The sequence below is a fragment of the Homo sapiens genome, chromosome 8 (genome assembly GCF_000001405.40).
Source record: "Homo sapiens chromosome 8, GRCh38.p14 Primary Assembly".
NCBI classification, from domain to species: domain Eukaryota; kingdom Metazoa; phylum Chordata; class Mammalia; order Primates; family Hominidae; genus Homo; species Homo sapiens.
Window position 1 is genome coordinate 106,522,879 of NC_000008.11, and position 24,509 is coordinate 106,547,387.

Here is a 24,509-nt window from a genome sequence, read left to right on the forward strand (position 1 = left end):
ATTTATGAACTCACTGCTCTGTAGTTCAGTCCACACGGTATGACTGGATTCTCTGCTCAGGGTGTCTCAAGGCTAAAGACAGGGGGCTAGCTGGGCTGTGTTTTCATCTGGAGTTTCAACCAGGGGAAAAATTGCTTCTAAGCTCATTCTTATTGTTGGCAGAATTCAGTCCCTTGCAATTGTAGGGCTGAGCTACCCGTTCCTTGCTTGCTGTCAACCAGGGACCACTCTCAGCTCCTAGGGGCCACTTGCTTTTCTTGTCATGTGGTCCCCTCCACCTTCAAGTAAAGAACTTCACATCAAATCTATTTCATTTGGATCCTCTGCCTCAACCAACCAAGAATACTCTCTGCTCTTAAAGAATTCATGTTATTGAGTCAGGATCACCCAGGTAATTTTTCTGTCTTAAGGTCCACACAACCTAATCACAGGAATAAAGTCCATCATAAATTCCAGACCCTGGAGTTATGCAGGTATGTACACCAGAGGGGTGGGAGATCTTGGTGACCATTTTAGAATTCTGCCTATCACATTTTACAGCACCACCTGATATATACACATGCAAATACCAATATATCTCAGATGAAATTTCTTAAAAGCACTTCCATTACTATTTTGACTACTTATAGAATGGAATATTCTATAGAATATGAAATAGAATACAATATTCTATTTCATTTTTTTAAAATACAGTCTCAACTCACTAAGTTTATTTCATAGTCCATTAATGGGCTATGACCTGAAGTTTGAAAAATCACTGGACTTGATATTTGAAATCCTTCAGATACTTAAACTTCTATTATTCTTTGAAAAATAGAATGGTTAATTAGAGCTAGAATAAAAAACATTAACTTAGTGGAGTAGCACTAATAGGTAAATAGAAGAAAATGGAGTGGAAATTTTTTTTTTTTTTTGAGACGGAGTCTCGCTCTGTTGCCCAGGCTGGAGTGCAGTGGCACGATCTCGGCTCACTGCAAGCTCTACCTCCTGGGTTCATGCCATTCTCCTGCCTCAGCCTCCCGAGTAGCTGGGACTACAGGCGCCCACCACCATGCCTGGCTAAGTTTTTGTATTTTTTTAGTAGAGACGGGGTTTCACCAGGTTAGCCAGGATGATCTCGATCTCCTGACCTCGTGATCCATCTGCCTCGACCTCCCAAAGTGCTGGGATTACAGGCATGAACCACCATCCCTGGCCTGGAGTGGAATTTTTTACCACTCCAATTATTGTTTGTGTTACATAAAACCATTTGAATTTGACAGTGAGCATAAGAAACATATCCTTCAAAACCACAGCCCCTACTTAAAGATAGATAATGAAGCCAAATAGTAGACTCAGATATTTGTGATAATCAGCTTATTTCACTACCCTTCATTCAAAGAACTACATATAAGGACTTCTGAAAAATATTGTAAATTAAGCATGGAGGTAGTAAAGAAAACTGTGCACACAGGAACCAAGCATGTACGATTGCTCCCTAAGGTATACCTGTACAGTTCTATGTGATATTGATTCCTCACTTCAGGGAACTGGAGCTGGAATTCATATATCACGGTCCAGCTTCTGCAACTATTAGTAAAAGCTCCTGATGTTTTTCTATATGGAGGACTTTTGCTGGACAGTTAGGAAATAGGACCACTCTTGAATGAATATCCACACGATCAGAATCACTCAGTGACACACCAAACAGTGATTAGTCCCTGATCAATCCCTGCTGTGTGAAGGCCTCATAGAAGATGCTGCTCAGAATAGAATGAAAAATGAAACAGAGAGAGCCCTGCTTTCAAGGCAGCCATCGTATGCGTTGGGAAAGAGCGTGCCTGGTTGAAATGAGCACACCGGTAAGCAAAATAGACAACAGAGAATGTCCTAAATGCCATAGAGATGGGAGAGAGGGTGGTGTGTAATGAATGAGGGAGGGGGCAGCAGGAGCCAAGGGATATTCAGAGTACCCTGGAATCCACAAAATGGAGAAATCTCAGATTGTATAGATGCTCAGAGGGCCTTTATGGGCTCCATAGAGCAAGACACCCTCACCATCCTCCTCTGTTTTTGCTTATGAGCTCCCCTGGCATCTGCACTTCTCTGTGCCTCCTGTTTTCTTGTGTTGGCATGTCTGTCTCCATACTGGTTCTCAGTTCTTAGGAGGAGGGAATGGTGCCTGCAATCTTATTAATCCCAGCACTTAGTGCAGTGTGAGGCACACAGTTAAGTGCCAAATAACTATGGAGGGCAGAGAGGATAGTTAGAAAGGGTTATGAATCTTGTCCTTTGAAGTGGAAGAGGAGAGGAGGGAGTCTGCTCAGAATTCAGTTGGAGGACGAGCTTAACATTTACTGTGTGCCAGGATCTTTAAGCAATTTATTCACATTATCTCACTATCCAAAGCTCAGTGACACAGGGTAATGGCCTCACTTTCATGAAAATCAGAAGTCCAGAGAGGTTAGGAGATTTGTCTAAGGTCACAGCTTCCCCAAATAGCCTAGATAGGATCCAGACCCAGTTTAATGTAATTGCAGAGCAAAGGCTCTTAAACACCACAACGTGCTATCTGTTTACCCCTCACCATAAGTATACAGCTAAAAGATTCTTCTGTCTGTAGTCCATTAGAGAAGGATTGGAATACCTGGTGTAGCAAACAATAAGTAAGATAATTACAACCTTTATGTTTATTTTTTAAAAGTCCTCTTTTATTACTTATGCCACCTAAATGCTCTCTGCAACTTCGTAGAAAAGCCAGAAAAGCTTTCAGTTTAGCCTTTCCTCGGCAGGGCTCCTGAATAGGTCCAAAAGGGGGGCTCCTCGGCTAACAGGTGTTTGAATAATACCTCTGGAACTTTCCTTCAGTTGAAATCTCTCCCTCTCAGTTTCTCACCTTGTCAAGGGAATTGACAGTCTATTTGTCCCTTTTAATCTTGTTTGTCTTCAGGATCAACCTCTCCCTTTTATCCTATCTAAACTAATCTCACTGTAACACCTTCTTGTAAGACACAGTCTACGATTAATCATCCAATGTTCTTTACACAGCCATTTATAGTCATTTAGTTTCAGATAAATGAATTAAATAAATATGTATTGAATGCCTACTATGTTCCAGGCTGTGTTCAAAGTCCTGTGAATAAAAGATTAAACTAAGGCCAGCCCTCAGGTGCTTATATTCTAGTTGGGAAGGCAGGCAATAAATATACAATCAGGTATTTAACACACTGTCAAGTAATGATAAGTTTTTAAAGAAGAATAAAATAGATTAAGTGAGAGAGGTGATATGTTATTCACGTAAAATATGTTTAAATCTTATACAATTTTTATGGACATTCTAGATGATGAATTGTCTCAGCTCTAACTGGGAACTCAATTGGCTGGATTCGATTACAGGACATTAGACGCATTAATAATAGATTTTTCAGAGTTGTTTTTCACCTTCCTTGGAATCAGATTAGCTTATGAAAAGACTAATGGAATTGATATTTGCAGCATGAAGGAGAAAATGATTGAGGGGAAATTTAATGACCCTCATGCTTCCCCACATTGTTTTCAAGAGGAGGTATCCAGATGTCCATTTCTACCAACAATGAATAAGGAGTGTGGATTAAGCTATAATTTAGAGTATTGAAATTAAATATCAGGGAAAATGTAACAAGTATTAGTATATACAGGGAAGTTGGTTTTTTGTTTGTTTTTTGAGACGGAGTCTCGCTCTGTCGCCCAGGCTGGAGTGCAGTGGCGCAATCTCGGCTCGCTGCAAGCTCCGCCTCCCGGGTTCACGCCATTCTCCTGCCTCAGCCTCCCGAGTAGCTGGGACTACAGGCGTCCGCCACCACGCCCGGCTAATTTTTTTGTATTTTTAGTAGAGACAGGTTTTCACTGTGTTAGCCAGGATGGTCTCTATCTCCTGACTTCGTGATGCGCCCCCCTCTGCCTCCCAAAGTCCTGGGATTATAGGCGTGAGCCACCGCGCCATGTATAGCTATTGTCTCTTCAGAGTGGTTTAGGTGTCAGCTTGCCAGAGGGAAGGAGAAAATTAGCTCTCAAAGATCCTAATTTTTTTGATCAAGGCCATGAAAGCTGTGTAGTCATTCAGTGGGTGTTTATTGAGCTCCTTCTTTTGCTCAGGAAGGCAGGTGAATCAATGGTGAGGAACTTGGCCTTGAGAATCTAAAGTCCAAGTTGGACCTTTATATTCCTCCTGCTAGTTATGAGACCATAAACAAAGTAGTTAGAATCTCAAATCCCAGTATGCCTCTTTATAAAAGGAAATAAAACTGTTGCTTACTGAAAGGGCTGTGGTGAGGTGTAAGTGAGGTAATGTATTTAAAGTACTTATATTAGTGCCTAGGACTTGCAAGTTCTCAGTAAATATTAGTGAGCTTGTTGTTGTTGTGAATTAAGGATAGAGTATGAATGAAGCACCATGGTACCTGCTCTCATGGAGCTTATATGAAACAAGCCTCTTGTCTTGACCTTTGTGGATCTGATCAAGTCATCCCCTGTTTAAAACCCGGCAGTGGTTCCCCACTTCCACAAAATAAGGTTGTTACTCTATAGATCTTTCATACTGCGCTTACCTTTCATCAGCTTCATTGCAGACCTCAGCCCTACACTCCAGCCAAGCTAAAAACTCTTTGTGGTTTCTCGAAGTTGTAATTCTGTATGATGTATCTTGGGCTTTTCCTCCTGCCTAGAATAGTGATACCTCCGCCTCTTTTAGCCTTCTGATTAACTATTCATTTGCCAGGATTCAATCCAAACGTCCTTTACACCTGGCCACAACTTCTCTAAATCTGATTAATATGAATACATTTCAAGCATTTTAATATACAGATTGTCAGTCTTTTAGGTGACTAACATATTGAATTTACTAAATTTAATAAATGCTTATAACATTTTTATAGAGTGAGTGGAATTAAGTCTCTGGAAGTTAAATGACTTATTCATGGTCCTACTGTAAATAGTTTCAAAGCCAAGGGAACAATCTAAGTAAAATGGCCAGTGGTAAAGAGCTCATCCTCTACATTGATTTTCAGATCAAATTCTCTTTTCAAAAACAAAAATGAAATTAGATCATTGATGGAGATCTCATTGAGTGGTTCCCCAAGTGCTAGTCTATACCATTGATGGTGAAAACGATGCAATAATAAAAGAACAGTAGTTTTTCATAAGACGATACTTAGTTGAAGTGACTGTCCTTTCCATTTTTTCTTTCTTTTTTCCTCTTTTGTCCCCTCCCTCTTTCCTTTCTTTCTCCCTTCTGCTCTTTCTTCCACCCTGTTTCCTCTCTTTTTCCTTCTTTCCTTCCCTCCTTGTGTTAAAATGAATGGTCTTTTGTGAAATGACTGCTTAGTTATGGTATCAGTTTAGGATATTTGTTTAAGTCTGTTCTTTTAAAATTATTTTACTTGTCAAAATATTAAGTTGGGAAATGGTCCCTAAAATATTCTCTTAAAATTGTGATGGTCTGTGAAATTGCAAATTCTAAAATCCAATGCAATGATCCTGTCTTTTGCCCTGCTTGCAGGATAGAATACCTTCAACATTCCAAACTTAACGATGCACAGTTAAATACAAATTTGTATCTTACTAACCCCAGGCTGCTTACATATTGAAAAGAGAGCCTATGGAATTAGGGGTTCCCTGGGAATTCTTCTCAGTAGTAGGCAAAATTAAAACAGTAATAACTAGTTTGGAAGCTCTGAAGAGAAAAGCAAGACACATATTTAACTGCTTTTTAATTGCAGTACACCAGACACTTTAAAATATCATCACATAACTTGTACGCCTCTCATTTAATAAAAAAGATAACCCTAAAGTAACAATACTATAACAGGAGGTTAAAAAATAAAAGGAAAAAACTAATCTTGCTAGAGGTGGCACATTCTGCAGTGTGAAACTAGGTCACCACTGACCTGGAACGTTCTCTCCAAGTTAGAAGATTCTTCATGGAAAAGCAGGAAGTCTCTGTGATTTAATCAACAGAACTATCTTGGCATGCAGGTCACTGTCTATAAGCACAGAAACTAAAACACATAGCTGCTCTGAGGATTCCAATTAAATTAAATTCTTGAGAACTATGACTTTGTTTGAATTGAAATTTGTTTTGACAGTTTGATGGCTTTTTACATTTTCTGGATCACAAAAATTTTTAGGGAAAATTATTTCATTTGCTGAGGTTTCTTGTTACACATGGAAGCTAAAAGTCCCTAAGTGGACCTGGGCATTTCACAGCTTTTGAAGAGTGGTTCAAAGTTTGTGTAAGTAGCCAATATGGAATTTTTTTTTATCAAGATAGTGGAATTTGAGGATATCAAGATTTCAAGTTTAGTTTTTTGGTTCATTTGTGGATTAATAAGACCATGGGATTCAATATATGTTTCTGACAGTCTACATCTCCATGTGCATGTTTGTTGGGGGCGATATTTGATTGGGATTTTATTTTACAACATTTTTCATTTATTTCATTTAATATCTACTTTAAAACATGAGATTAAGGAAATCCCACAAGCTGAAACTACTTTCAACTCTAAAATTAATATGAAAGCTTTATTTCTTTCAAGATAAATTAGATTTTTTTTAACCAATCATTTATGTAATTTTAACTAAAATTTACCAAGGAACCGGAGGTATTCTCAGAATGAGAAAAAATATGTTTGCTTGATATTCCTATAAATTTGTAGTGCCTATAATTTGTTAAATAAGCTTGCCAACTCTAGTTTTATAGCATTAGTACCTTATTTTATAGATTTGCTTTATTCTTTTTTGCCCTGATTCTGTGATTGTTCTCTGTCAGAAGTAATCAACCCAGAATCAAGAAACACAGCTTAATCATGGCCATGATAAACAGATTAAGAAATGTCAGTAACCCTGAGGTCTCCTTGAGCAAATGGTTTTGGTATTATGTCTGAGCTACAGCCTAATAGTCTTATAACTTATTCAAAAACAAATTATATCTGTCAATTTATTTAATGATTTCTAAACTGCCCAATTAAACCTATACTGGTTTAATTTATGGAATAATTAAAATGGACATTGTTCATGGTTGAGAAATAAGCATGATCCTGTTTGAAATTTCCTAAATCACTATTAAAATTAGTCTTTCACTGCTGTTAGCAAACAAAACTTGCCCTTTTAACCTGCTAACACGTCTATGAACATCCCATTTCACTGAATAATGGTGAGGGGAAGAAAATGACAAATTATTAAGCAAGACCTACTCTATTTTAAACATTTATAGATAGAACTAATGGCGATTTGAACAGTGAAGTAATATGTCTACATTTCCCAATGTTTTCATTTTTTTAGGAGTATGAATTTAAAGAGCTTCTAGGATCTTGCTCACATTCAGAAATGAAACTATTGGTATCTCCTGATTTTTTTTAATTTGCTTTTCTTCCCACGTTGTACCTAAGGATATATATTTTCTTATTTGTTTTTTCTTCTTTTATGAGATGAAGTCTCAGTGTCATCCAGGTTGGAGAGCAGTGGTACGATCATAGCTCACTACAGCCTTGAATTCCTGGGCGCAAGTCAGCCTTCTGCCTCCAGGGTAGCTGGGATTACAGGTGTGCATAACCGTACCGAGTCAAGATATTTCTTTACATGTAAAAATACTACAGGATTTATGCTGGTCAATGAAATTTTGACCATGTTAACAGTTATGACTGAAAGAATATTACTTATGAGAATGGAAAAATAGGTAAAAACCAGACACAACTGGGGGGAGAATCTTCTATTGCTGTTTCTACCAAAGTTTTGAAACTACTTTTACTATAGTTAAAAACTGTGAATTCAACTGAAGATTATAAATGTTACAGTGACCATTCATGATACATTCCCTATATATTATGTGTACATCTACATAGAAGCAAGCTATTAGTAAACAGCTTTAAAATTCACTAACTGAAATTTTGTGATCATCTGAACAAACTGAGATAAAAAGTCTTTGTGTTAGTACAATATGAAAAAAAAATCTATGTGGGTTTATAACTGAAACATGATTTCAGGACACAGAAGATATTAGGTTCAGCAATTTAGCTTAGAAAACTGCTTTTTGGTAGGGAAAAATATGTACTAAGAGAAATTAATAAGTTGGTTTTAAAGTAAGGTTATTTGTTAGTTTATTTTATGTTACCATATATGTTTGAAAATAATAAAGTGAAATTCCTCCAAAATATTACATGAAAAAGTTTAGTTAATTTAGATTGGTATCTTTTGAGGGAGAAAGCCCATAATGTGTCCTTAATTATGACCAACAAATCTTAGCATTCTGTTTGATCATTAATTTGATAAGCCTCTTTCATAAATCTGAACCTTCTGTCTTACAGAAAAAGACTAATATGCTTTGTAGAAAAAACTAATATGCGTTGGATTTAAATGAACTCTTTTAACTAATGTAACATAAACTCTTAATGAATGAATTATTATATTTATAAACCCTCTTAGTATGAGAAACACTATGGATTAGGCATATAGAGGCAGCTCAACCCAGTATACAAATCAGTAAGACTTTTAACAGTATTTGCCTCCCTGCTGCATTTCAATGTTCTCTATTTGCTAGGATTTGTACTCAAAGATTCTTGGAGGTTATTGTGTTGCTTAAATTTTCATACATGTTGATAGAAAGGGCATTGATATCCTCTCTTAGTTTTCTGAGCTAGAGGGGGCAAAAATTATCTTTGATAACATATTGTAGATAAAATATCATAGGTGCCCACAGAGAGTTGAACCTTGTGACTCTGATTTATTGAGTGTCTTACAGGCCAATTCAATAGAATTTCTTTTCCAGTTAGATAGATTCCGTTTTGAAGTCTTTTTCAAGTACTATTTCAAGGGAGGCAAGATGTGGCAAAATCAGCACAATAATATTTACTCTAAGTAAAGAAAAAAGGTACGTGGTGTGCTGTTTGGGGTACAAAGTTTTTACTTCCTGCTTTAAATAATTCTCTCAAGTTGCAGATCTTTTGTGATATGAAAAACACTCGTGTAAATAAACGTATAGTGAGTGGGATGGAATGGGGATAGCCAAAAAGATGCACTTAAGGAAAAGGGGAATATAAATAATAACTCTGTCTCTCCATGCTTTCTTCTTTCTTTTTCACCTCCACCCCTATATAAGCCTGGGTAAACCTCAATTCAGTGGACAATTTTAAGAATGCTTACTCATTCATTTAAAAATATGATTGAATGCCTACATTATCAACTACCAATAGTTGGAAACAAGGCTTGAGAGAGAGGAGAGGGAGTCTTGTGTGCTACACCATGGAATTTGGGCTTACTCTTGGCGTCTTAGGAACTTGTGAAGGGCTTTGCCTAAGGCAGTGTCTTGATGAGATTGCTTTATAGAGAGATATTTCTAGCATCACATGGAGAATGGTTGGGAATTTATGTGCCTACAAAGAGAAGAATCTTTTAGCCATATAGTGTAAGAGCTAAAAAGATAGCATATTATGTTATTTAAGAGCCTTGGCTCTGGAATTACATACAATTGGATTTGGATCCTACCTCTGCTATTCTGGGCAGCTCTGTAACCTTGGACAAGTCACTTAATCTCTCTGGACTTCTGATTTTCATGAAATTAAGGATATTACCTGGTATTACTCAGATTTGTAATATAAGATAATGTATATAAATTGCTTAAATGATCCTGGCACACAGTAAGCACACAATAAATGTTAATTAAAAAGCAAATTATCAGAAGAAAAATAAAGAGGAGTAACAAGAACCAAAACTAAGAGGCAGCAGGACAAGCAAAAGATTCCAGACAGATGCAGTATATAAATCTAGATGAATTCATGACCAGCTAGAAATAAGTAAGAGGAAGATTTTCCAGTCAATGCTGTGATTTCAGGCTTTAAATACTTGAAGCCATAGAAGCTAACCTTTTCATTTAAAAAGATATATCCTCTTTCATGAACAAAATAAATATCTCTATGGGCCAGAAAAAGGATAAAATGCATAACAATAAATGAGTGTTGAAGCTATATGCCTTTTGAATTAATATACATTGAATTTAAAATAACCTTATCATAAATATCAGAAACATCATGCATTGAGCATATGGAGGACAGCCTGTTAGGCACAGTGTTGATACATTGCTATTAATTAAATCCATTCTTCATTCATATTTCCTTACTTTTTACCTGACATCGTTTTTCTTTTCCAGGATCCTATCCAGGGTACTACATTATATTTAGTTGTCACATCTGGGGTTTTTCTCAGCTGTGACAGTTTATGGTGTCCTTTTCCTAGTTACAATGCTAGAGTTGAGCTCTTGGCTGCCCCTGACTATTTCTGGACCAGAGCCCTAAAGGGATAGGAAGAGCCAAATAGGAAAGGACGTTGAGAACCAATGATCAGAGACATAGAAGGCAATCTTTGTTGTTTCTTCCTGCTCTATAATCCAATAAATTTGTTAATTCTTAGCCTCTGCTAGTAATTAGGAAAACAAATGAAACTATGTCATTCATATGATGAAAAGTACAAAAGAAGACGATTAGGATGGGACCTTGACATCCTGGAATTAGAGAATAAAGGTGTTTATGAAAGCTATGTTGGGAATGGTAGCAGGAGAAGACTCTTTATTCAAAGAGAGAGAGGAAGCAGCACATTGGTTTGGTATCTATTAGTTTTTGCACTTAGTGTAAATCACACTTAGGATTCATTCTGTTTAAACACCCTATGTATTGCAGAGTCATACCACATCACACGGCCTGAGACCTTTCTCCTATATTATTTTGGGACTTATAGAAGTCTTAAAGGCAAGGCAGCAGAGAATAAATGGCTCAGGACTTGAAGGCAGTTTTATGATATGCTACCTGAACAGGGCAGCAGTTGAGTTTACTTTTTTTTTTTTTTTTTTGGAGATGGATTTTCTCTCTTGTTGCCCAGGCTGGAGTACAATGGCACAATCTTGGCTCACCACAAACCTCTGCCCTCTGGGTTCAAGCAATTCTCCTGCCTCAGCCTCCTGAGTAGCTAAAATTACATGTGCCACCACGCCTGACTAATTTTGAATTTTTTTAGTAGAGACAGGGCTTTTCCATATTGATCAGTCTGGTCTTGAACTCCCAACGTCAGGTGATCCACCTGCCTCAGCCTCCCAAAGTGATAGGATTACAGGCGTGAACCACCACGCGCAGCCAGGTTTACCTTTTATCAGAGGGACTCAGAGAGGAAAGCTTTAAAGCCTGAAATCTATTCCAAAGAATTGCATTCCAAATTTTAATGTGCACGGGGGATCTTACAAAAATACAGATGCTGACTCAACAGATCTGGGGCGGGGCCTACAATTTTTTCTGCATTTGTAACGAGATTCAAGATGATGCTGATGCTGATGCTGCCAATCCTGGGTAGCAAGACTAATTTAAAGAGCCTGAAGGCTTTCATCATCGAACAGCACACATAAAATACTTTTCACTATTTGATCCCAAGTTATCATCCTGAATCAAGAATCTATTTATCTTAACACGTGTGTTCCTTTCCCAGAACAAACTACCCAGTTCCCAGTCCTTAACACCTGTAAGAAACCTTTAGAGTAAGAAAAAGAATATGGATATTATTACAGAGACATCCCTGTAGTTTTTATACTATAAAAGAAATGACCACAAAGTAGTAATGGATAAAATTGTTTTACTAAAATTAGAGCATTTGAGACACATTAGCAGTTAGCTGTGACAGTATAGTGTAGTGTAGAGCAGTGAAAATAACACAGGTTCAGATGTACAGACACAAAAACATTAGAATTAGCAATTCACTGGCTATTTTAGCTCTATCAGTCATTGGCTGTGTTGGTCAAGTTTGTTGGTCAGTTTTTCAACTGTTAAATGGGAATAAAAGCACTTTCTTCATAGGATTTGTGTGATTATTAAATAAGATAGTGCATGTAAATCTCTTAGTACTGAATCTGACTAGTAAGTACTTAACAAATACTTGCAATTTCATTAAAGAAGCAGAAAGAAAATGGAAAGAGGTTAATAGGGGGAAGTAATAGCTAATCAATAGTAAGTGGTTTTAGCTTGGGAAAATACATTATTGATAAGTTTTTAATACCTATATTCATTTATCCTGAAAGCTAGCACGAGGTTTTTTTTGTTTTGTTTTGTTTTTTTTGAGACGGAGTCTCGCTCTGTCGCCCAGGCTGGAGTGCAGTGGCGCCTTCTCAGCTCACTGCAAGCTCCGCCTCCCGGGTTCACACCATTCTCCTGCCTCAGCCCCCCAAGTAGCTGAGACTACAGGCACCCGCCACCACACCCGGCTAATTTTTTTGTATTTTTAGTAGAGACGGGGTTTCACTGTTTTTGCCAGGATGGTCTCGATCTCCTGACCTCGTAGCACGAGGTTCTTGGACGAGAACTATGATCTGCAGAAATAACAGCAGGCTGGCTCCCCCTTCCCCAGTCTCCAAGGCGATGCAATGAAGGTAGATGTCAGCTGTACCTACAGGGCTTTCTACTGCAAAACCGCTGAAATTATGAATCTGGACATCTGTAGAGGAGCTGGACAGCTGCCCTACTCCCCCTCTGGAAAGAAGGAGAGAAACTTTTGTCCCTAATGTAAAAGAGTCTTCTCTGGGAAAGATCCCTAAGTTTTTACAGTCCTTTGGAATATAAGAAAAATAGCTCAGGGATTTAGCCTCCTTTGAAATGTAAACACAAAGCCCCAAGGAGATAAATCTCTGTTTCTCTCCTGAGCTATCTATTCTATCACCATTTCACCCAGTTGCCAATTTTCTTTGCTCAGAAAGCCTGACCCTGTAGCAACATGAAATTTACATCATTTCCTGATAATTATAACCCTATTATAAAGTTACATTAATGGAGAAAAAAATTATTAACTACCTCATATAATAGAAAAAAAGTAAAACCATCCCTAGCAAATCCTCCCCTACTCAACCTTCATTTCTGATAATTATAATAATAAGAAAAACCCAGGCTTTCTATAAATTTCCTTCAAATTTTTCATTATTAGTGTGTGTCATTCATTCCATACCTCCTAAATAATTCCTAATGTGTGAACTATTTTCCTTGTCATTGGATGAGTAGTTATAAAGATAGAAAACAAATTTTCAGGCTGGCTGCAGTGGCTCACGCCTGTAATCCCAACACTTTGGGAGGCCGAGGTGGGCGGATCACGAGGTCAGGAAATCGAGACCATCCTGGCTAACACGATGAAACCCCATCTCTACTAAAAATACAAAAAATTAGCCGGGCGTGGTGGCGGGCGCCTGTAGTCCCAGCTACTCGGGAGGCTGAGGCAGGAGAATGGCATGAACCTGGGAGACGGAGCTTGCAGTGAGCAGAGATCGCGCCACTGCACTCCAGCCAGGGCGACAGAGCAAGACTCTGTCTCAAAAAAAAAAGAAAGAAAGAAAGAAAGAAAGAAAGAAAACAAATTTTCAAAAATGTAGGAAGCAGTTCTCTAGTTTGACCACAAGGCAGATAACACCTGACCAAATGATGTGGCTGTGCTCTGTATGGTTCCCACCAATGTACAAACCAGAATGGCTTTGAGTAGCAAGGCTATGAATTTGCAGTCTCCCTAACATCAGCATCACCGAGAACACATGGTCATTGCCAAGCACAGAAATGACTGAAGACTAATACCCAAGCAATTGCTAAAGGATAGTTGCCAAAGGGAAATTGCTAAAGGACATGTGTCTCCATGAACATAGTCAGATGTAACTTGACTAAGCTAAGGGCTACTAGGAAATAGCATTTACATAGCAATCTCGCCAGCCATTTTATTTTTTAAATTTTTTTTTTAATTTTTGTGGGTACATTGTAGGTGTATATATTTATTGGGTTAGCCAGCCATTTTTAAATAGGTGGTGCTGGGTCACTCAAAGCAAATAATCTGCAAACATGATAGGGGAAAAAGCAGAGACAAAAGCCTAACAAATGCTTTAAGATTCTGAGACTGTCTCTGTTGCTCAGATTTGTCAGCCATTTGTTTTTTGATTGTATTTTTTCTAACCAAACTCACAAAGGACCCTGACACCAGTGGAAACATTCAATCCTCATGAGAATTCAAATCCACAACATTATCTGTTATCTGAAAAGCAGTTATCTTGGCCAGTTTGAATTGTTATGACAAATTACCCTAGAATGGGTGGTTTAAACAATGAATGTTGATTTTTCAGTTCTGGAGGCTGGAAAGTCCAAAAATAGATGCTGGCAGACCCAGTGTCTGGTGAGAACCCACATGCTGGTTTGCAGATGGCCATCTTCTCCTTGTATCCTCATGTCTTTATAGGGCATTAATTCCATTCATGAGGGCTTCACCCTCATAATATAACTACCTCCCAAAGGCCTCATTACTTAATATCATCACATTGGGGATTCAGCTTCAATATATGAATTTCAAAGGGACACAATATTCAATCCATAGCAGCAATGCATTAGATGATGCAAAAGCTAGTAAGACAAGGCCCCTTTCTTTAGGAGCTGACTGCTAGTACAGTGGAGCAAAGAGAGTGAGGGTGCAGTGATTCTAATAACACACAGGATGTAAATGTCCCAAGGCAAGTGCAAAATGCCGTAAGAGTTTAAAAACGGAGGAGCTCATATGTAATTTAGGAAGAATAAAGCATGGCTCCAGAACAAAGGAAAGTCTGAGGTGGGTCTTCACCTATGGAAAGGATTTCAGTAATAGTTAAGAATCCTAGGGTTGGGGGCTGGGGGAGGGATAGCACTGGGAGAAATACCTAATGCTAATGACAAGTTGATGGGTGCAGCAAACGAACATGGCACATGTATACCTATGTAAGAAACCTGCACATTGTGCATATGTACCCTAGAACTTAAAGTATTTTAAAAAGAAGAAGAAGAAGAATTCTAGAGGCCACTATTGACAGCCAGTCACAGATTTCTACAGTGAAGATAATGAAGGAGTTCCAAATGGAGACTTGACGTAGATAGGTTCAGGGTTCAGAGAGGGGGGAATATACTCTCCATCCCAAAAAAGAAGAATGGATCTTGAAGTAGAAACCTGAATAAAGAGAGGAAGGAGAGAGGAAAAAGAGGGGAGGGTGAAATTATGAGAATGCTGAGCCTTACACCACCTTCCCACCTCCTCTATCTGTGACTCCTGAAATTTTAGCAAAGTTTATACAAGTCATGAAATTCTGGCTGTGATTGGATTTTCTGTGGAAACTGATGACAGGATTAAGTTATTTGTCCTGGCTGAATTAGGCATAAATAGTGAGAAATGGTTACTCCTAGCCAAATGTGTGGTCCTGGACCTGGGTCACAAATATTCAGTCCATAGTGGCCATGTAGGTATTCTCCTGGGATTCTAAATCTCACATCTGGCAAATTATGTGATTTAATATCCTGTGATCCCAAAGACCCCTTTAGGCCTCAAATTCTTGAATTTTAATATTTTTAACTGAGATTCATTTTATTAGTGCTGTATTCAAATGAAATTATTACTTTTTAATTTTAATTTTTGGATACAAGTAAAAATGAAATTATCTTCAGCATTGATTTGATTTTTTAGCACAACGCCTCTCTAAATAAAGCTCAAAATAACATTTGTTTATGAAAACATGTTCGATTTCTTGTATCATCTCTTTTCTACTATTTTTTTTCCCCTCCCATTAAGTTTTGTTGTTCCAAATCTAGGCTTAACTCATTTTCCAAAATGTACCAATTTAAGGTTGGACTTGTTTATTGCTCATTCATAATTCTAACCATTCATCACATTTTGTTGTTTTGCAGTTTCATAAACTTCTTTATTTAGCACAACTCTATTGCTGGATTAAAATGAGCAACCTTTGTAATAATTAAATATCTGTATAGAAAGGGATCTTTTCTCAACATGTATGCTCTTTGTTTTGGTTTCATGCCCCCAGATAGTTCTGACAAACTCAACAATTGTGAATAGCATAAAAACAGGCTTTTTGCATGCAGTAAAACAAAGTTAAAGTTTGCTCAAAAATGCATGCAGAGTGAAATTCTTCAACGTGGGGAAAAGGAAAAAGTATGGAACTGCATATGCTGGATGCTATGCATTATTATCTCATTTAATAATCTTAAAAACCTTATGCCGTAGGTTTTTTACATCTTCATTTTACATGTAAATTTCAGTGATATTCTATGGCTTGCCCAAGGTTGCCTACCTGTAAAGGGGTAGAGTAAGGCTTTAAATCCACATTTGACTTCAAAGCCTGTCTTCCTTCCATTAAATTTTACTTTCTCTGGGTACATGTCATACTATCTTGTGGCCACTTATTTATCAGATGAGATAATGACTGTATCAACTCTGTATAAACCATAAAGTGCTACATAACTATCACTTATGTTGCTGTAGTTGATAAAAGTGAATAAGCCATTTAAACTTCCTAAGTAACAAAAATAAGTAATTGATAAGCCCAATTATGCACTTAGTCTTACTGCCGTAATTTTACTTCTCATGTGTATATCTAAACAGTATTTTGTAATCAATACATTACTGCCACTGAAGCATTGAACATGCCCGTTCCATATTGTCAAGGTTTGAAAATTCATTGTATGATTTAGTTGTGCTGGGGAATTGTGTGTGTCTGTGTTCTTCAGTAAAAACTAAATACGACTTCTATAATTTGCATATTTTACTCCTTAGTAAATTATGAACTGATAAAATTACAGTGGTTTTTTTGATGAAAATCAAAATTAAGCTCGGTAAACATATTGCTAAGGAAATGGTAAATTAGAAAAACCAAAAGAAAAGGTTAGGATCTGCAGTGGGATGTAGTATGAATTCTTTAAGAGTGAATCATGTCCAACAACTTTTCTTAGGAATATGAAAATGCCATAGAGAAGTATGTTGATTTTAGCAGATCCTTTTACAAACTTATGGCTGTCATTTAGAAAGAAAGAGAAATGCACATGAGATAATACTCCTAGTTTTGAAGAGTAATAATAAGGGGTCAGATGGGACAGTGGTCCCTAGCGCTGAGCCAAAGGGCCTGAGTTTCGGGCTGTGTCTCATCTAGAATTCATTCATATCTTTGACTCATAGAGAAAAGAATGAACACAATGCTGAGTGAGATCAACATATGACAAGATAAGTTCACTTTCAATGATAGCTGTAAATAGAAAAAATAATATTTATATAATTGATTCAAACTTTATAAAATTGACTCAAATGGAAAAGTTAATATTTAAGAAATTTAAATATTTATTTCTTTTCTGTCTTTGAAAAAGTCAAGTATACATATACAGATTTCAGAACACTTGGACTAGCAGCAATTTGGGTAAAAAAGATCCAGTGAGTTCATTTGGAAGCTTGTTCTTTGGGAGTGAACTGTCAATAAAGTGACATAGCAAGCCAAAAAAGGAAAATAAAGTTAAGGAATCAGGAGCACAGAGATACATGTTAACAGTGGAACACCCGAGGAGCAAAGATCAACCATTGTTTGTATGGGTTCCATAGGTAAATCTAAAGCCCGTGGGTAAAAGTTCCAGAAAGATCACTATTTAGCTTAATGTTAAAAAGGACTATATGAAAATAATAAATATATATAAGGGATTCTAGACAACTCTGTCCTAGAGTGAATCTATTTTATTCTTTTAAAATAACATTTTTCATTTTTGCACAAAACCATGCTTATATCTGCACCATTCCAGTTTTTAGAATACACAACGTTACAATCAACTTGTTTGCATTTTGATACACTTCTGTTTTCTTTTCCCTCTAGTACTTCTGCATTTCTGCCCTCAATTAGCATTATAAAAGAGGCTAAAAGCCATGGCTGTTGTATTAGTCTGTTTTCATGTTGCTAATAAAGACATACTGGAGACTGGGCAATTTACAAAGGAAAGAAGTTTAATGGAGAACTCAGAGTTCCACGTGGCTGGGGAAGCCTCACAATCATGGTGGAAGGCAAGGAGGAGCAAGTCACAGCTTACATGGATGGTGGCAGGCAAAAAGAGAGAGCTCGTGCAGGCAAACTCCTGTTTTGTGAAAACCATCAGATCTCGTGAGACTCATTCACTATCACGAGAACAGTGCAGGAAAAACCATCCCCCATAATTCAATCACCTCCCACCAAGTTCTTTCCATGACACAGTGGGAATTGTGGGAATTACAATTCAAGATGAGATTTGGGTGGGGACACAGAGCCAAACCATATCAGGTGCACAGCCAGATATATCCTGATTTAAATCCAGGCTTACCATGTACTATGTGATGTTGGAAAGGTCACTTAATTTCTCTGACCCTCATTTTCTACATCAGTAAAAAGATATTCTCTATATCACTATGTTGTTTCAGGACAGTGGACTATGTGCTTTTTAAATTAGGATATCCTTTAAAATATGTTAAATATTTAACAAATAATACCCACAAGTAACAGTTTATAAAAGTATGATAATTCATGTTTTAAAACATTTAGTAGTGTGTCAGACACATAGTAAGTGGTAAATAAATAAAAGTGAATAACTATTATGTTAATGTGAAACAAATTCGTATAATGTTGCTCCTTAAACAGTGTTTCAAATTTGTGAGGACCTGACACAAATCATTTATTTTCACTTCATGTGCCTCTACCAACAAGCATAAACTCATGCTATATGTTCTTCTTAGAAGCACTGTATTGTTTACATTAACCTCTACCAAGAGAAATACAATGGTGAAGAAATGAAAGAACGATTCATTTAAAACATTGGTGCTAGCATGTACTGCATGTTTCAAGTAGTATCATAAAACCATATCTACCCTGCAAATATTTCCTCTTTTAGTTTGATCCCAAACCAAACCTTTTATTCTTGCTTACCAGTACCTCGCCAAAACTGAGTTTAGTAAATTGGTGGCTGATACCTGAGAAGCAAGGAAGCAGTTCCCCAGGGTGTGATTAGCTATGGAAACAGTTGATTTCAGTGAGGGTTGGAGAAGCAGGGAGAGGATTTAACACTGAGTGGTTAAAAATAGTTCCCAAGGGGAATCTAGGGAGGAAGCAGAGATCTTCAAAAGTGCTAGAGAAGAAACACATAAAATGAAGTAGGGATAAGATACCAACATTTTACCCAGGCCCAGTGTTTACTGTATGTATTTGGTCCTGGCTACCTGTATCATTTTGTTTAATCTCAAGTATCTAACTTATGTGTTTTTCACTTTCATTTAGCAAATGGACAAAATTAAGGCTCAGACATGTTAAGGAGCTTGCCTTGAGAGCCCAGTTAGTAACCTAGAGTAAGGACTTGAGTCTAGCTTCTGTACAAAAGCTGTGCTCCATGTCACTGCCTTCAGTGGATAAAGTGACCCTTTCTTTTACAAAGAGGGCACAATTATTTCACAATTTTAATAGGTAGGCAGATTTTTTCCCAAGACCTTTAGAGATAATTTTTTAGATGTAGGCAAAGTGTTCAGCAGCTAAGTTTATACTTGGAGATTACTATGAATATCAAAATCCTAAAATGAATCAAGTTTACAAGAAAGCAAAACAAAGCAACAAGTAGCCTAAAACTAGTGTTTATTAAACTGGTGTTGCACTTGACTGGGGAAAACACTCCCCCCTACACCTAGATGGATTTTTGTTCATCTTCAAAGGGCAACTCTAGGAAAATTTGGAGGCAGAGCTTCCTAAACATGAAATTCTTATTAAGAACTTAAAAAGTTCTTAAGAAAAGATGTGTTTTACTTCCCAATCCATATTTCCACCAACGTTTGTTAAGAAAATTATATATATGCATATATCACATATATGCAATCATAAAATTATTCTGTCTTAGTAAATTTCCAGTACGGGTTAGGCACCTATTTTTTTTTCTTTTTTAATTTCCATTCCCTTCAGTAAAACTGTGGTAGCATTATTGCATAAAAATAGATTCAGTTTAAATGTTTCAAATATATCATGCTGTTAGCAATAACCACGAAGTAGTATCGCTGCAAGAAAGTAAATTTCTCATTATTTAGCTTGATGCCTAGGGTCATGAGAAGAAAAAAAATTAATATAATTATGTGTCAGTTCTGGCATCTCAGAAGAATCTTACTTTAATATTTTTAGCAAACTCTCACCATTCTCTGGTTTGTTCTGCTTTTCATAAATAGATAGTTTGTGTCAACGATTGCCCCCAAAGAGTTGAGGGTATGCTATATTATTTTTTGCCCTTAACTGATTTCAAATTTAGGTTGTAAGTCCATTAGCTTTTGACTTAAGACACAATTCTGAGCTCCTATTTTTATGAGTCCTATTTTATTTTCTGTGATAAAAGGGGCTGCACCTATTGTAGCTTGCTCTGAATTTGTATATTGGAGGAGTCTACAGAGCAGAATTGAGGAAGGAGAAAGAGACTTCCTAATGAGCACTGCACTCATCATTCACAGAATTCCATGAATGTTTTATTGATTAAGTACTGTGCTTTGAATTAATTTAACTAGTTTAATTTATGTGTGTTCATGTCATTGTTTTTTCATCCTTTTTTTAATTCCCCACCTGAGATGCAGTGTATTCATCTTTGTTTTTCTTCCATGTTTATTTCATTTTTGTGGGGGTTAGAGGTTAATGATTCTGAACACTGCATTCACATCAAACAAAAGATAAGACCAACAAAAAATCCTGTAGAAATTGTGTCATTCTTAACCACAACTGGTATGGTATCTTTAAAATTTTATGAAAAGCTACTGCCTTCCTTCCTTAGAGAGGAGAGTTGATTTCTTCAGATACAAGTAAGGTGAATATCCCCAGATGAATATTCATTGATGAGCTGATACTGTGTGTCAGCTAAGGTTTGCTTAGGAAAACTGAAACTGCTCTAGATATTTGACCAAGAAATAACTTCTTAATACAGGGAATTATATGCCTACAAAGCTATGGAAAGGGCTGAGGGTCAAGTTCAGAGGAATTATTGCTGATTTTTAGACAAACCCAGAAATGTCAATATGGCAGGAAGCTATAGCCAGGCTTTCAGCTGCCTGCAGTGCTAAAGTGAATAATTTGTTGAGACCTAACCAAGAAGCCTTTGAAAACCTCCCATTGCCATCCAGCCCTAAGTCTACCATGTCACAAATGGAGGAAAGGAATGACTTCTCCATATCATCTCCTTTCCAAATCTTTTATGAATAACTCTCCTTGATGGAATTTAAATGGAGCCCTTACTATTAGGAGAATTTGGAAAATGTGGTTTTCAAGCTTCTAACTCTTTGGGTCATTGTGCTTAATAGGTCAGGGATGACACTGCATTGACATATATATAATAAAAAGCACACTAGTCAGCTCCTATAAGTCTTATGCAGAATTTTATTTTTTTCCCAAAGCACTGGCCTGAGTAATGTTGAATAAATTAACACTCTGAATGTTTATGTACCCACTCTTATCCTGTCTCTTAATTGTAGAAAGGATAAGCTTTTTCTTTTTCTTTTTTTTTTTTTTTCATTTATAAGATGGTGTTCTTGTCAAGGCATAAATCCAAAGGGAGGCAGATGTGCAACACACAGGTAATAAGGGAGTTCCTTAGCAATCAATGAGATTTGAAATGTCCAGCTTTTCTTTGCCTGTATGAGCATTTTTGTTAGAAAGTTTGATCACATTAAAAGGTGAAGCATGCAGAAACCTATTTCAGTGTTTTCACTTTATCTTGCTTTAGAAGCTAAAAGGTTATACCTCATCATGGAAATGTTCTTTACAGTATATCTGATTTGTTGTCTATTGGAAAGCGATTATGTCTATAACATCAGTGAAAAGAGCTGTAGGGAAAAGAGCAATGCTCTTCTTGTGATGTTTCATTCTTTTTGACTGACATAGCACTACGAAAAAGTATTCTGTTTTCCTCTGCAAATAAAAATAATGGAAAAAAATATATAATGCTGAATCTCGTCATCACAAGAGACGGATTTTCCCTGAAAGTTTGTATTAAAGATTATATGGTTGTGTTGGAACAATTTGTAAAGTTTGGAACAAGACAATAGTCTCAATTAGCTCCAAAGTATCTCCTATTATTTAATTAATTTTTTTTGTGACTATCCTATTATAAGAACCTTCACAATGGCCAGCACACTTACATAGACTGGAATTTCGCCATCCGGATTTGGATTAGCTTATTAGAGTTTATTACTGCAAAAGTGATTATCCAGAAACAATATTGCCCATCTTTTACCATTGTTATTTAACATCTTCTGGAAGTTTGACATTAGACTTTTTTAAACTTGGCACTAACGTCATTTTGGGCCATAGAATTATTTGCTGTGAAAGCGGTCCCGTGCACTACAGGCTGTTTAACAGTATCCCTGGCCTATACCCACTAGATGCCAACAGCACTGCTCCCAGTTGTGGCAACCAAAAATGTCCCCAGGAATTGCCACATGTACCCTGGGGGCAAAGTCACCCCTGGTTGAAAGCTACTCTTCTAGACACTGCCGTATAATACAAAACAGAAGTTTGAAACAAAGGTACTGAAAGGGAGATAAAAATGATTATTTTAGATAATGTGATTGATTGTCTGAAAACAAGACATTCAGCTGGAACGTTATTTGATCTAATGACTTAAATAAAGTAGCCAAAACAACATAAATGTACAAAAATCAATAACTATCAATAACAAGTTAGCAAAGGTAATTTAGAAGTCCGTTTTATACTGGGTAGCAAAAACAAAAGAAAAAACTATAAAGAACACAAGCAAAGTGTGTGTGGATATTATAAAGGAGAAAGGAATGAAAATCATTTCACTCTTCCAGACACACAAGCATACTGTAAACCTATAATAATTAAAACGGTGGTACACAGATGAAGTAACTAACCATTAGACCTTCATGAAATCTTCTTTAAAGTATATCTGACTAGACAAGTAGAACAGAATTGCCTCAAAACTGACTTTGATTTACATAACAAAGTTAGTTTTGAAAGGAAGCCCCACAGATCAAAAGGTAAAGGAAGGAAAATAGGCTTATAACTGTAATCCCAGCACTTTGGGAGACTGAGGTGAGTGGATCACTTAAGCCCAAGAGTTTGAGATTAGCCTGGTGAGCATGCAAAACCTGTCTCTATTAAAAATACAACAATTAGCCAGTTGTGGTGGTGCACAGCTGTAGTCCCTGCTACTCCGGAGGCTAAGGCAGGAGAATTGCTTGAACCCGGGAGGCAGAGGTTGCAGTGAGCTGAGATCGCACCACTGTACTCCAGCCTTGGTGACAGAGTGAGATTCTGTCAAAAAAAAAAAAAAATTGAATGATGCAGGTATAATTGGTTAATCATTTGGAATAAAAATGTTAAACACTTCACACATTACATTTCAACAAAATAAATGTTGACTGTCACGTGTCATTCGGTAGGGTCTCATTCTACCCGAGAGTCTGTCTTGTCTTTTTCACCAGGCTACAGGACATTCACCCCAAGGCGTAGCTGAGTCATTTCGTGCTTTACCCACCACAGTTTTTGTTAGATACCTCTGGCATGTAATTCCACATGGGGATATGCTTAGCTTTCATCGTGAATGTCCCTTAGCTGTTGTCCCTGCTAAACTGTGCTCACTTTGGGGAGACTTCTGTCATTGCATTCCCAGGATCTAACACAGTGGACTTGTTATTTGTTAAGTACATTTATAAAAAGGATCATTCATTTTTAAAATTGTGGTAAACATATATGTAAACCAACATGTGTCTGAGACAGGTCTCAATCAATTTAGAAGTTTATTTTGCCAAGGTAAAGGATGTGCCTGGAAGAGAGGTCTGTACTTTTCTCCAAAGATGATTTTGAGACCTTCGGTATTTAAAGGGGAAAAGCGAGCTGGAAGGAAAAGAGGAAGGGTATGGTCACATTACTGAATCAAAATGTTGCAAGAAAAAAGGAGCAGTTAGGGGAACAGTCAATGATGTATTCCCCTCATGGTCAGTAAATCAGTGCTCTACATAAGGTAAGGTGAACATAGAGAAGCTACCTGTGCAGACAGTTAACTTTCATCTGCAGCTATTTGCTTAGGCATAAAAGGAAAAGCAGTTGCTTGCGTGACTCAGCTTTCAACTTAATTTTCTCCTTTTGGCATAGTGAATTGGGGTTCCAAGTTTTTATTTTCCTTTCACATACATAACATGAAATTTACTATTTTAACCTGTTTGTTTTTATTTTTTAGACGGAGTCTCACTATGTCGCCAGGCTGGAGTGCAGTGATGCAATCTCGGCTCACTGCAACCTCCGCCTTTGGTTTTAAGCAATTCTCCTGCCTCAGCCTACCAAGTAGCTGGGATTACAAGTGTGCACCACCACGCCTAGCTAATTTTTGTATTTTTAGTAGAGACCGGGTTTCACCATGTTGGCCAGGATGGTCTTGACCTCCTGACCTCATGATCCACCCGCCTCAGCCTCCCAAAGTGCTGGGATTACAGGCGTGAGCCACCATACCCAGCCCATTTTAACCATTTTTAAGTGAACAGTTCAGTGGCATGAAGTACACATCGCCACCATTCATCTCCAGAACATTTTCATCTTGCAAAATTGAAACTTTGTGCCCATTAAACTCCCCATTCCCGCTCCCTCCAGACACTGGCAACCATCATTCTATTTTCTGTCCTTGAATTTCACTATTCTAGGTACCTCATAGAAGTGG

General features: G+C 37.2%; 1 protein-coding gene and 1 long non-coding RNA gene across 7 annotated transcripts in view; one reads left to right on the top strand and one right to left on the bottom strand.

Annotated features, from left to right (window-relative positions):
• Nucleotides 1-24,509, top strand: part of OXR1 (oxidation resistance 1) — a 482,517-nt gene that overhangs the window by 252,701 nt on the left and 205,307 nt on the right. The gene's annotated exons all lie outside the window — the stretch shown is intronic.
• OXR1-AS1 (OXR1 antisense RNA 1) overlaps nucleotides 1-24,509 on the bottom strand; it is a 140,687-nt gene that overhangs the window by 5,845 nt on the left and 110,333 nt on the right. The gene's annotated exons all lie outside the window — the stretch shown is intronic.